This window comes from Homo sapiens, chromosome 3, assembly GCF_000001405.40.
Source record: "Homo sapiens chromosome 3, GRCh38.p14 Primary Assembly".
Taxonomy (NCBI): Eukaryota; Metazoa; Chordata; class Mammalia; order Primates; family Hominidae; genus Homo; species Homo sapiens.
This window is the reverse complement of record NC_000003.12, coordinates 60,312,822-60,326,213: the sequence shown is the minus strand read 5'-3', so window position 1 is coordinate 60,326,213 and position 13,392 is coordinate 60,312,822. Positions and strand designations below refer to the sequence as shown.

At 38.3% G+C, this 13,392-nt stretch overlaps 1 protein-coding gene and 1 long non-coding RNA gene across 8 annotated transcripts in view; both read left to right on the top strand.

The window, feature by feature from the left end:
* The window catches only part of FHIT (fragile histidine triad diadenosine triphosphatase), a 1,504,176-nt gene that overhangs the window by 925,239 nt on the left and 565,545 nt on the right, over positions 1-13,392 (top strand). The window lies entirely within an intron of this gene.
* Positions 1-13,392, top strand: part of LOC107986015 (uncharacterized) — a 100,472-nt gene that overhangs the window by 30,539 nt on the left and 56,541 nt on the right. For both annotated transcript variants that reach the window (XR_007095935.1, XR_001740433.3), the window contains one exon: positions 214-13,392. This exon is cut by the window's right edge and continues 56,541 nt beyond it. This is a non-coding gene — a long non-coding RNA (uncharacterized LOC107986015). The remainder of the gene's footprint in view (positions 1-213) is intronic.

The window sequence follows — 13,392 nt, the reverse complement described above, 5'->3', positions numbered from 1 at the left end:
AAAATGCACAATAAATGTAATGCACTTGAATCATCCTGAAACCATCACCACCCCCCTGCCAGCCCCACTCCACCCCCATCTGTGGAAAAATTGTCTTCCATGAAACCAGTTTCTGGTACCAGAAAGGTTGGGGACTGACTGCTGGTTTAGGATGTTGATGAATTTATTGCCAGCTCATGGTCAAGTTCTTATCTCTTCTGTGTTATATGACAGGAAGTGCCCTCGCTTGATAGTATTTGCATCATGTTCCCCTTTGAATGCGGAAATTAAGTAGATCCCTGCCATCACGTCGGTCATGATTACACACATTTGGAAACATTTCAAGAACAATTGTGTAGTCCAAAATGTAAGTGCATTCAATAAAAGCATAACATAACATGATTATCCTATAAAGCGAATCTCCTTCCTGGTCCTCTCCACTACAGTAAATGCCCTGCTGGCAGGGCAGAGGACACTGACTGAATTTTATTCTGAAGTGTCCATTGTAGTTTGACTCTGTATTGTAAATCCTCTTTTGCCTTGGTTTATGATGTTTGAAATGTCTTGTACTGTAGAAATTTAGCTTTATATCTACATCATTGTTTTATTCACTAAAACCTGTTAGATTAAAAATGTAATGAATGTATTTTTAGCAACAGAATAAATTTAGAGAAGAGTTTAAAAACCCAACTCTGAAGGCATTTCTAGATGCTAGATTATTGCTCTGTAGCTTTCATTAATTACATTTCTAAAAAACAAATTGAAAACAAAACACTATCATTGAAAAAAATGTATGTAAGCCATTTTATGTCTTAGGTTATGCTGACAGATGTGTAAAGAAACTTTTAAACATTTCAAACTCTAATACTCATACTGCATATTATTTAATTTATCAAAAGTTTTTAGTGACAGTCTAAACTCAATATGAGGCTTAAGGGGCTTAATAATGGTAATTTAATTTGGAATCTTTTGGCATTTTAAAAACCCTCTGGCCAGTTAACAGAACGCAATAAAACATAATTATAAAAATATGTAGCATGGCTTCATATTTCTACATTTCCAGGGTATGTTTTTCTTCTTTAATCATCTATTAAAAACATATATGAATAATATGAAAAAAATTGTTTTCTCTTTCACTCTGTTTTTTTGCTGTGAAGTGTTGACCTGCTCTTTGGAAAATATTAAGAATGAAAATTCCAGGGATATATTAGCACAGTAGAAACAGTCACCTTTGTGTGACCTTCAGAAACCTTCAGAAATATCTAGAATGCTCATTATCATTGAATTACTTTAGTCATTATTTGTAGTCTAAGAAAAATAGAAAAGCCTTTTTACCCTTAAAAAGATTTGAATCTGTTGAAGGTACTGGCACAGTAACCATATTTGTTCAAATAAAGAAAACAGTACACCAAGGTATATCATCAGCCAAGTAATATGAGAAGAGGGTTAAAAGTGATTACCTTAAAGGAAGCAAAGAGCTAAAGAGTAAAACAAATGAATAATTTTCAAGTAATCAAATCAAGCCATATAGTGGACGCATTTGTTCTTTTTCTGCCTTTTGTTCATAACCATGCTTAGCATAACACTTTAGCTCCTTAATCCCTTTTCAACCACAACTCTATTGTCAGTTGCTAGTAACTGGAATTCTTTTTTTTTTTTTTCTGATGGAGTCTCGCTCTGTCACCCAGGCTTGGCGATCTTGGCTCACTGCAAGCTCCGCCTCCTGGGTTCAGGCCATTCTTCTGCCTCAGCATCCCGAGCAGCTGGGACTATAGGCACCCGCCACCACGCCCGGCTAATTTTTTTGTATTTTTAGTAGAGACAGGGTTTCACCATGTTAGCCAGGATGGTCTCCATCTCCTGACCTCATGATTCACCAGCCTCAGCCTCCAAAGTTCTGGGATTACAGGCGTGAGCCATCGCGCCCGGCCTTAGTAACTGGAATCTTGAGGGGCAGTCTGGGTGGTCATTAAAAACAGGGACTCTGGGGTTATAGGACCAGGGTTTTGGCTGTTACTAGCAGAGAGATTTGGGGCCCATTACTTGACCTTTCTGTGTCTCACAAGTTTGTTAATGAGGAGTAAATGAGTTAATACTTCTAAGTACTGAGTTTACTTGTATTTGAATGCCTGGTGTATCCTAATACAACCAGCTGTTTCTTATCAGCATCATCATTATTGCTTCTATTGTTAATAAGATTTCATTTCAACAAAGGATTCTAGACCTCAAAGCAGGGTTAAAAAAAACTGCCCTACCTTGGTGTTTCTGGCAAGCTTGGGAAGTTATTCCCTTTCATTTCTTTCAACCCTTCTCATTAGCCAGGGGGAAGCTTTCTCACCTTTCTAGTATTTGCTAATCTTCCTTATAACAAAGCGTGGGCAGGCCCCAGGCTCAGAGCCTCAGGCAGGGATCCCTTCCGGCTACAGTTTAATATCCTTTTGTTTCAAGGTTAACAGGGTTAGCTGTCTATCTGTGGCAAGTGATACTGGTTTTCCATTTATGGTACAGATAGAATGTTTCCATTTAAGTCAAAGTAATTTAAGGAGGAACTGAGCAGATGTAAAGAAGACAGACCGGAATGATAGTACAGGAGGCACAGGGATGTGAGCAAAATCATGAAGATCAACACAGATGGGGATCTGCTCCCTAGGATTTCCTCCTCTCCCTGTGGAGTCTGGAAACCTCAGTGTGACCTGGCCTTGTTTCCAGCCTGCAGGGCGATGTTGTACCATATACCAGGTTGTATGACCTCCCTGGGCTTCATTTTCCATGTTCTGTTGGGACACTGGCTCACTGAGATCTCTCTAACCGGCTTATGTGGAAAGTGTCTCATCCTCAGGAAGTACTCAAAATTGGCCAGTAGGAGTCTTTTAGCTTTAAAATTCTCATTTTTTTCTTTATTATCCATGTAGTTGGCAAAGTGAAAATAATGGGAAAATTTAGTCAAGCACTTAGACGCTTGACGTTATGTAGATATCATCACTGACTACGTATTTCATGAATGTGAAACAGTGATTCCCGGTGGTGTCCTGGGAGCCCTGCGTCCCCTTGAGGGAGGAGGTACTTTGGGCCCCAGTAGGAGGAGACAGGGCCTTAACAATTTGGTTTTAAGACATTTTATATATTTTGCCTCTGTGTAGGATTTTTGCAGGAAGTTGGAAGTAGGAGAAAGGGTGGGGAGAATGCTCTACTTCCATACAAAAAAATCTAAACTCATACCTAAATAGTGAATCTTACATTTCCTGTATGTCTTTGTTGCCAGTCTTCTATACAGTCCTTCTGCTCCTTTTATTCAAAGTGTGACATGTTTAGGGAACATTCTAGTTAAACATTGTATTTTTTTCATAATTCAGACGGTTCAAATTTGGGATATCATTTCCTCTGATCATCTTTTATAGTCGTCGCAGTTTCTGTCTTTGTAATGTGATAATCAAGGGCACAAAAATAGTACTTCCTCCTCTACCTCTTTCTTTATCATCTATAATGATTATTTCTCAGATTACAGTGTTGTGACTACCCATGTGATCATACGATTGTACTTATTAATCTTTTCCCAGTTTAACAGTGCAAGTGCAGGTTTCAAAGAAAGGTGGCTGGAGACATTCTGGGTGAGGTGTTACAAATAACACATCATATCAGTTGTGGGAGCTGAATTCTTGTTTTTCTTGTCCGGTGCCCTTATTTACCAACTGGGTGAACCTGTAAAAGTCAGTGAATCTCTCTGGACCTTAGACTTCTTGTTAATAAAGCAAAAGGATTATGTAATATAAAGTTGGAGATGGCCTCCAAGGTCAAAAAGTTGATAATTCATTTGTGCCTATTGACTCAAACTGTAATTGGGTATAATAACAAGTCTTTCCCTGTGACTCTTGGTAAGTTAATGGGATGTCACATGTGATGACACATGCAAAACCACCTTCACATTGTAGTATGTCATGTATTATAAGTATTTATAAAACCAATGTGATGTACTACTATTAGAAAAAGAGACATTTTAGTGCTAATATACTCCAGGATCTCCTGAAATACACAGAGCAGGAGTTCCACACATTGAGCAGGCATCATAATTGCCCAGAAAAGCATAATGAAAATAAGCTGTTGGGCCCACGGTATTTCTATGGGCTGTACCTGGACAAATGTGTTTCTTGAAAATTCCATGGGAAATTCTGCTGTAAAATGAGAGTTGAGAAGCATGGATGAATATTGCTAAGGTCTGAATGTTTGTGTTCTTCCAAAAGTTATATGTTGGAACCTAATACCCAACATGATTCTATTAAGAGGTAGGACCTTCTGGGAAGTGATTAAGTCACGAGGGCTCTGCCCTCATGAATGGGATTAGCACCCTCTTAAAGGAGGTTGGAGGGAGCTTCCTTGCCCCTTCTACCACTGAAGATGCTTCAAGAAGGCGCCATCTTAAAGCAGAGAGCAAGCCCTCACCAGGCTCTGAAGCTGCCAGCACCTTCATCTTGGGCTTCTCAGCCTCCAGAACTGTGAAAAATAAATTTCTATTATTTATACATCACCCAATTTAAGGCATTTTGATAGAGCAGCTTCAATAGACTGAGACAGAAATCATATTTTAAATATATACAGAGAGAGGAGATCCTCAGATTTCAGCAGTTCTCCTACAGGCTTTGGAGTTCCTCTGCCCCTTAGTTCTGGGATCTTGTGCAAGTTTTGTAACCCCTCAATGCCTGATTATGCATCTCTTAAGTGAAGATAACCTTTTAGGTGGCTATAAGAATTTTTTTTGGTTTTTTGAGACCTAGTCTTGATCTGTCACCAGGCTGGAGTACAGTGGTGCAGTTGTGGCTCTCTGCAGACTTGACCTCCGGAGTTCAAACAATACTCCTGTCTCAGCCTACTGAGTAGCTGAGACTACAGGTGTATGCCACCACGCCTGGCTATTTTTTGTATTTTAGAGATGGGGATTCACCATGTTGCCCAGGCTGATCTTGAACTCCTGAGCTCAAGTGATCTGCCTGCCCCAGCCTCCCAGAGTACTGGAATTGCAGGCATGAGCCACTGTACCTGGCCTGCTGTCAGAATGTAATGAGATACTGCCTGTCCATTCTTCGCAGGGTGGGAAGCACGTAGTAAATATTATTATAACTGTTGCTTAGAGTTGGGGAGTCCCTGAGCCTCCACAAAGGAGAGAAACAAGCATGTTTTCGGTATCTGTGATCACATGGATAACAGGTTCAAAGACCTTTTACTGTTTTCTTCAGTCTCATTAAAATTTGTAGCTCTGCCATTATGATGGCCATGTCATTTGATTTAGTGTACAATTGAACATGTTTTATTTAATAAATTAGTTAAATAGTGATCATTACGATTTGGGTTTCAATTGAGTCCTTGAGGCAATATTTGCTGATATAAAAATATTAGGTAATTTTAAAGAATTATCAGAAAGATTAAAATATTAATATGTTCCTCCATTTCAAATTTATATCTCCCTAATTGTAATTATCCATCTTTCTTATGTTACTTGTAATTTTAAATAAATTATAGCACAAGTTTTATAGAAATCTTTTCATTTTATTTGATTGGATGTTTTTGGGTAAGTTTATCATTTTTTAAAGATTTATGTGAATGTCTGACATTGATACCAGGAAGATAATTGCTACCCAATTCGAATGTGACATTCAGAGCATACCATTTTTCTCCCATTACAGTGATTGGACAAGGATTAATATTTGAATTAAAACAGAGTAAGATGCATTATGTTTAGCGTTACAGCTGTTAAAACGCACTTTATTAGCCATCGTTTATGATTTAATTGAAATCCTATTTTTTTTCCTCTCCAGTTAGCCATTTTTGTCACTTGCTATTGCTTCTTTTTGGTTTACTTCTGGCACTTAAGCCTGATTTTCAGGTTGTTGTCTTGAAAATATTTTCTTAACCACCACCTAGTCACAATAACGCTGCCGCTATCCTGCGCCACCCCCATCTGCCCCAGTTTTCCTTCAGAGAGTATGCTTTTGTCTAGAAGCTTATGTAAGAATAAACAAATTTGAAATGAAGAGGAAGCTTAACGTTGTAATTGTTTTTATACATAAACAACGTAAGAGTGTCAACGTACTTGGATAGTTTTCTCTGAATTTAAAAAGTTTATTTTAAATGGTGTAACTTAAAATGTGGTCTGGATGGTGCCTAAAGAAACTCACCTTAGAGGGATTTTGTGTGGGAGAAATTAAGATATAAGTTGTCATCCTACGGAGCGCTTTAAATTGAGGTACTGAAAGAGCCCCCAGTGACTGCGGTTTTGTGAGAGCTGCTATTGTGCATCCTCTTAGGTCGTTTTCCTGTTTTTCTTCCTGATAAAACCCTGTTTTGTGTAGGCACCTACCCTACCCCTTCCCATGAAATTAAAGAAAGATGATTCTACCCTCAGAACCAGGAGTCCATCCTGGCATGAAAAGACCAAAAGTCGGCAACCCCAAACGAACTATGGTAATTACAGTGCAACCACTGCTGGGGAGAAACAGCCCCCCTCAGTGTCTCTGGAAGCTTCCACGGTGATCACTTTATTTGTGCGGTTTCATTGTGGCTGTGCTGCTGTTTGAGTTGGGCTGTTTGCTGTTCTGGTCACGGACTTCTATGTGCTCATGAGACAAATTTCTGTATCTTCCTGTAAACACAGTTCTGCACATTCCAGAAAACCTGATACATTTCTTTGGTCCCACCTTAATGTGAATCAATGTCTCTGCCCTTTTACTGGCAGTCAGTTATCCCAATCTATATACCGTTCCATCATCTACTCTGTTCGTTGTTTTTTTTTTTTCCCTTAAAAACATCACCCTGTCAGAATGTGTACTCTGTTGCAGCAAAAATCAATTATACATATTGATCAGAACTTGTCAGCAGATCCTTTGAAGGTTTACAACACACCGTTTTGTTCTGCCATACTAGTCGGGAAGCTGTGGCCAACTCCTGTAGAGTGAGGGTGATGGGTGAGTGGGTGGGTGGATGAGTAAATGAACAAAGAATGAACTAGTATTAAGAAGAAAATCCAAAGAGATTATGGTAGGCTGAGTGATGGCCCCCAAGTATGTCCATGTCCTAATTCCTGGTACCTGTGAATGTTACCTTATGTGGCAAAAGGGACTTTGCAGATGTGATCAGGTTAAGAATCTTAAGATGGGGAAGTTATCCTGGATAAAGTGGGTGGGTGCAGGGTAGTCATAGTGTCTTTGTAAGAAGAGGAAGGCAGGAGGAAGGTCAGAATCAGAGAGCAGGCCATGTGACAACAGAGGCGGAAACTGGAGGATGCACTTTGGAGATGAGGGAAAGAACTACAAACCAAGGAGTATAGGCAGCCACTAGAAGCTGGAAAAGATGGAAATCCATTCTTCCTTCCGAATCTCTAGAAAGAATCAGCCTGCCAACAACTTGACTTTAGCTCAGTGAAACTGATTTTGTACTTCTGGCTTCCAGAACTGTAAGATAATATATTTGTATTATTTTTAACCACTCAGTTTGTGATAACTTGTTACAGCAGCAATCAAAAATGAATGCAGAGAGTCAGAAACTTTTAAAAGGTGAATTAATGAGTATTGAAGTCAAACTGGACTATACGATTCTGCTGACTCGGAGTCAAGTTCTCTGTCCATCACATCACATGATCAGGATGTCAGTCATTGTGGTCTTGACCCCTCTGATGAGGTTTACTTGTTGTGACAAGGCCCAAAGGAAGAGGGATTTGGGTAGAATTTGCTTGACCTATTTCTGTGTTTTTGTAAGTTTTTGTTTTGTTCTGTTTTGTTTTTAAACAACTGGTTTCTTTCTGTGAAGGAACATTTATTTTTTCACCCCCCAGATGCCTTTCTTTGCAACTTTTGCTGTCATTTCATTTGGTTGATTTCTATTTCACTCTTGATTCAGTGTTGTTTCTTTCACAATAAGATAAATAAAATGATCAGAAATCGAGCAAGACTTTCCTTTTGTTAGTTCTTTCTTTTGATGTCCAAAGAAAAAGGCAAGCAGTTACTGTAATTTTTGCTCCTTAATGTGATTTTTTTCTTGGTGCTTATTTTCAAACATTTTAATGTCCAGAAAAGCCCTACATTGCTTTATCACTGCATTATACCATGATGTGTTCAGGGTTTTTTGTTTTTGCTTTTGTTTAAGATGCCCAGAATGGGGCGGGGCATGGTGGCTCATGCCTGTAATCCCAGCACTTTGGGAGGCCGAGGCAGGTGGATCACTTGAGGTGAGGGGTTTGAGACCAGCCTGGCCAACATGGCAAAACCCCGTTTCTACCAAAAAATATAAAAATTGTCTGGGTGTGGTGACATGCACCTGTAGTCCCAGCTACTAGGGAGGCTAAGGCAGGAGAATTACTTGAACCTAGGAGGTGGAGGTTGCAGTGAGCAAAGACTGCACCACTGTACTACAGCCTCAGCAACAGAGTGAGACCCTGTCTCAAAATAAAAAAAAAAAAAAAGAAGAAAAACTTGCCCAGAATGGAATTTTGAACTAGTACTTCCCAGTACTAGAGTTCTGTAGCAACTGTGAAGCTTTGACAGTCTCTCCTACTTGTTGTCATGTTGGCACACTGATTTGTTAATGGGGAAAATATTATATATATATATATATACACACACACACACACACATATATAATTACATATTATATGATTATATAATGATATATATAATTATATATAATGATATATGTATATATATTTCCAATATATTAGCATCACTTTTGTGAGGATCCACCCAACACAAACTGCATGTTAGTAGCTTTGCTGTAGTTAACTACTGAAATATTTTATGAGATCTGGGGGTGAATAGTAAGCAGTGGAAAAATGTGATGAGCATCAGAGGAATTCTAATAGACCATTTGGTAAAGGGATTGTTTTATTTTACTGCTTTTTTCATTTATCAATTACAAAGATAACAATTGTCAGTCCAGGATGAATAGAATCATCAGGAAAATTTAGTTATATATGCACTTGTTATAGGGATTGATTTTCAAAAGTTCTTAAGTAGATTTTATTTTGTGGGTGTTCATACATAACTACAAGAAAAAAAAGGAATATGAACTAATATAAGCCATTTGAATTTTTAAAAATATAATGTTGAGTAACAGTTTGAACCTAAGAATGTAAGAATACATTATTCACTTAAAATGACACCCTTCTGGGCCAATATACTTTCCTGTAAAGTTTCTTTTTATTAGATTACTGTATAGCTATGGTTAACACATTTTATTGTGAATAAGGATCATTTGGAATTACTTAATAAAATCCTAGTTCTTGGGTCCCTTGTTCCAGAGATTTTATTTCAATCGATTAGGAAAGGACTACAGGATCGCTCTATTTAACAAGCTCTGCAGGTAATCCAAAGTCCTCAGACCACACTACATTGCTGTGTATAATCCATCAGTAATCAAAATATTGAGTGTGTGCTATGAAATTATTTTAAGAAATTCCTTAAAGTCTTTTCAAGTCTTTTCAGAAAAGTAGTTGTTGGAACCATGGTTTGCCATATGTAAAATATGCTGTGCTAAGTTACAGAACAGTTTTGAAAAAGACTTAATCTGTTTTGAGTGAGCCTGTGGCAGTTGTAACATTCTGGATTTCATTCAAATTTGTAGCAATGCAAATGGCATGCTTTAGATGTGGCTGTAATGCATTTAGCTCAATGACAAGGAAACTGGCAGATATTTCCATAAGACATACTGATTGAGAAATAGTGCTTGCTGCTAGTGGCTTGATCTGCATACATTTAGGATTTAATAGTTTGCATTTTTTGCTTACTCACTTGTCCTAAATGCTTAATGAATAGGCTCTAAGGCTTTAATTTTCAACCTATCCTAAGTTTATTACTAAAGTTTATCAAGCAATAAACACACTATTGCACTTATACTGTCATGTTTTTATAAAGCAGTTTATAAAAGGTGACATCTGGCAAAGAGGCAGATCTATAAAAATCATGCTGGTGGATGTAGTGTCATTTTTTCTGCCATACACCCAGAAAGAGTAATATTATTTTGACACACACATACATCCCCACTGTCAAGTTTCTATTTTTATAGTTAGCTTACTGCATGTATCCTTAAGCTATACAAAACCTTTGGGCTAATGCAAAAAGTGACATTTCTGCATATTTATTACAATGCTATTTTAGAGGTTGACTTTGCCTGATAGGATTTTTCCAAGAACAATGTCATGTTCATGACAGTAGACATCATTGAGAACAATACTATTGTGTAGTTAGTCAGGAAAGGTCAATATGGAAGGACAAATCATAAATTGCTTAATTTAATGCAGCATGATTTTGCCTCAATATTTGCTAGTTATAGGGGAGAAAACAATGATAACGTGGCCCAGATGAGCAATTCTTTGAGTAGTTGGAATATGAACTAATACTTTACCAAATGAGTGCACTGCCCTGCGATCCAGCAACTTTACTTCTAGGTATATACCCAAGAGAAATGAGTGCATTTGTCCACCAGGAAGATGTATGAGAATGTTCATAACAGCTTTATTCATAAAAGCCCCAAACTGGAAGCAACCAAATATCCATCAGCAGCAGCAGAATGGATAATTGTAGTATACTTACAAAATGCAACACTTCAGAGCAATGAAAACATACCATCTACTGCCCTGTGCAGCAGCAGTGATGAATTTCACAGATAGTATGTTGAACGGAAGAAGCTGGATGCTAGAGCGTACCTTCTATGTGATTTCCTACACATGAAATTCAAGAACTGACAAAACTTGTCTATCATAATAGAAGCTAGGATACTGGTTTCTTATTTGTGTGGGGGTAGGATGGGGATGTTTATTGAGGGAAATGTCTGGGTAGGGTCAGAGAGAGGCTTCTGGAAACATGTCTTATGACCTAGGTGGTGGTTACTCGTGTGTATACATATGCAAAAGAGCAGAGCTATACACTTAAGATTAGCCCATTTTATTGTATGTTCTGGCTATCTGTTGCTGTGTAACAAACTACTCCATAACACAATAGCTGAAGACAATTTATTATTATTATGTCTCCCAAGGTTGTGGGTGAGAGATTCCCACAGGGCATTAGGATGAATAGCTTACTGCAGTTCATTAATGTCTGGAGCCTCAGCTGGGATGACTCAGATAGCTGGAGGTTGGGTGGGCATCTTTCCCTTTCTCTCGCCACATGCTGTCTTGGGCTTCCTCATAATATGGTAGCCTCAGGGTGGCAGACTTCTTATCTTAGAGCAATTCAGGATTTGAAAGCTAGTGTTTGAAGAGAAATGCCAGTTTCTTGAGGCCTGGGCATAGTAAGTTCTGCTGAATTCTTTTATTATTATTATTTTAAATTTTAAAATAGAGACAGGCTCTCACTGTGTTGCCCAGGCTATTCTTGAACTTGGGACTCGAGTGATCCTGCTGCATTGGCCTCCTAAAGTGCTGGGATTACAGGCATGAGCCACCGCACCCAGCCTCTGCTGAATTCTCTTAGTGAAAATACTCAGTGGCCCCACCTTACTCAGGGAGAAGGAACATAGACCCCTCACTTCTGGATGGAAGGAATGTTAAAGATTTTGTGGCCATTTTTATTCTGCCACACCATATGTTGCTATATCTCAGTTAGAAAGTTTTTAACAGTTCAGATCAACCTCATTACTCTCAAAACTTTCTTCCTTATGGGTAGGGAGCCTTTTGTAAAATGTGAGTCTAGTTCTGAAAAACAAACAACAAAAGAAACCCTCCATTTGAAATCATAGTTTCTGTCACATCATACTTCTCTTCTCAGTTTCCTTTTGAGGTGAAAAATTATGATTTTTTCTTATTTTATTTGAAGTTTCTGGGCTTTGAGTTTTATTTTATCCAGGCTCGGGTGAACTTAGACTTTTATTTAATCATTCACGGCCTACAGTTAACTGTCAGATTGAAGCCAGATAAGGCTTCTGATACTACTGAAATCCCTTACTCCTTTTGATTTATGGGTAATGAATTTGCCCTCTGTAGTCAGAGCATGATTTTTTTTAAAAGAAATCCTATATCTCTTATTAATCATCTACCAGAAATATGTTGCCCAACAGGCCTCTTTGTAAAGATCTGTATTAAGACACAAGAGCAGGACAGCTGCATTTACGCAGCAAGACTTTATATGAGATTGAAGGGAAAATGTTTATGCAAGCTAAATAAAGCCAGTGTGAAAGCGAGCCTTTTAAACTATTCGGCTTCATTTGAACATGACACTGATGTAGACAGCTTGGGAAAGCAATGTGTGCACACAAAATCTGCATTATCCAACATATCAAAAGATTTCAACGCCAGTGCACCAACAGTCTCTAGCAGAGATAATTATTGCACCCTTGCCTGGCCTCATTTGGGCCAAGAGCAGCACTTGAGCCTGATCTTTAAACAACATTGTACATCTCATTTGAAGACTTTTCTGGGGCCATCTCTCAATTTTGTGCCAGTAACTTCAAAGTCCGTTTGCACAGAGTCAAGATTAGAAAGATCTAACCTCATCCTCTCAGATTTTCTTTTTTAATTAATGTGCAAAATGCTATGCTTTTGCTCCCCCCGGGAAGCCTGAAAGGATTTATGCAGTCATTTCATATCACCATATTTTCAAGACTCAGCTATCATTTGTCACTTAAAAAGCTTTGTGGAATATAAAGCCATCAACCCAGCACCACAGCAGTATCACTTTGTCAAAAGAGAGTTGTTTGCACTTTACGTGACAACCTATTTGTATAAAGTGACAGGGTTTGAACTAAATATACCACATGAAATCTAAGTTATAGGTGATGGAATCTTGTTTGTAGCTCTAGTCGTTAGCCTGCTCACACTCCTCCCCTGCCAGCCTGCTCACTCAGCCCCTGTATTCTGCTAATGTGACTGTTTTCAAGAGATCCCTTTAATGTAGACAATATAAATGCGGTTGCTTGACCTACTTGAGAAGGCACCTAATTTTAGAGAACTGGGTTTTTACATATTAGTTTCCTCTTGTGATCCCTGACTCCTGAATATTGTAGAGTGTTTATAAAAGTGTATGCCAAGGTGCTAATGCACGTATCTAAATATGTATTTATATCATATGTAATGTTTAGAGCATGTGCATAGGTGTGTGGATAACATACATCTGTGAGTCAGTGAGTATGATAGGAGTATGGCCTTAGGAATTAATTGGCTGGATGCTAATCTGTGTCCCTCCACTCTCAAGCAAGATGACCTTGGAGAAAATAAACTAATTTGGGTCTGTTTCTTCATCTGTAATCTGGGGGAAATCATATCAACCTGAATCAACTGGGTTATGGATGCACTCGGTCTCATGCGTGTCATTGTGAACACCAGTAAATACCAGCGCTCTTATTACCATCACAATTAGCACATTTTCTCTGTAGTGAATTGAGGTGATTCTTTGTGGAAGGTTTTGTTTTGTTATTTTTAAACATTTTCAAGAATTAGTT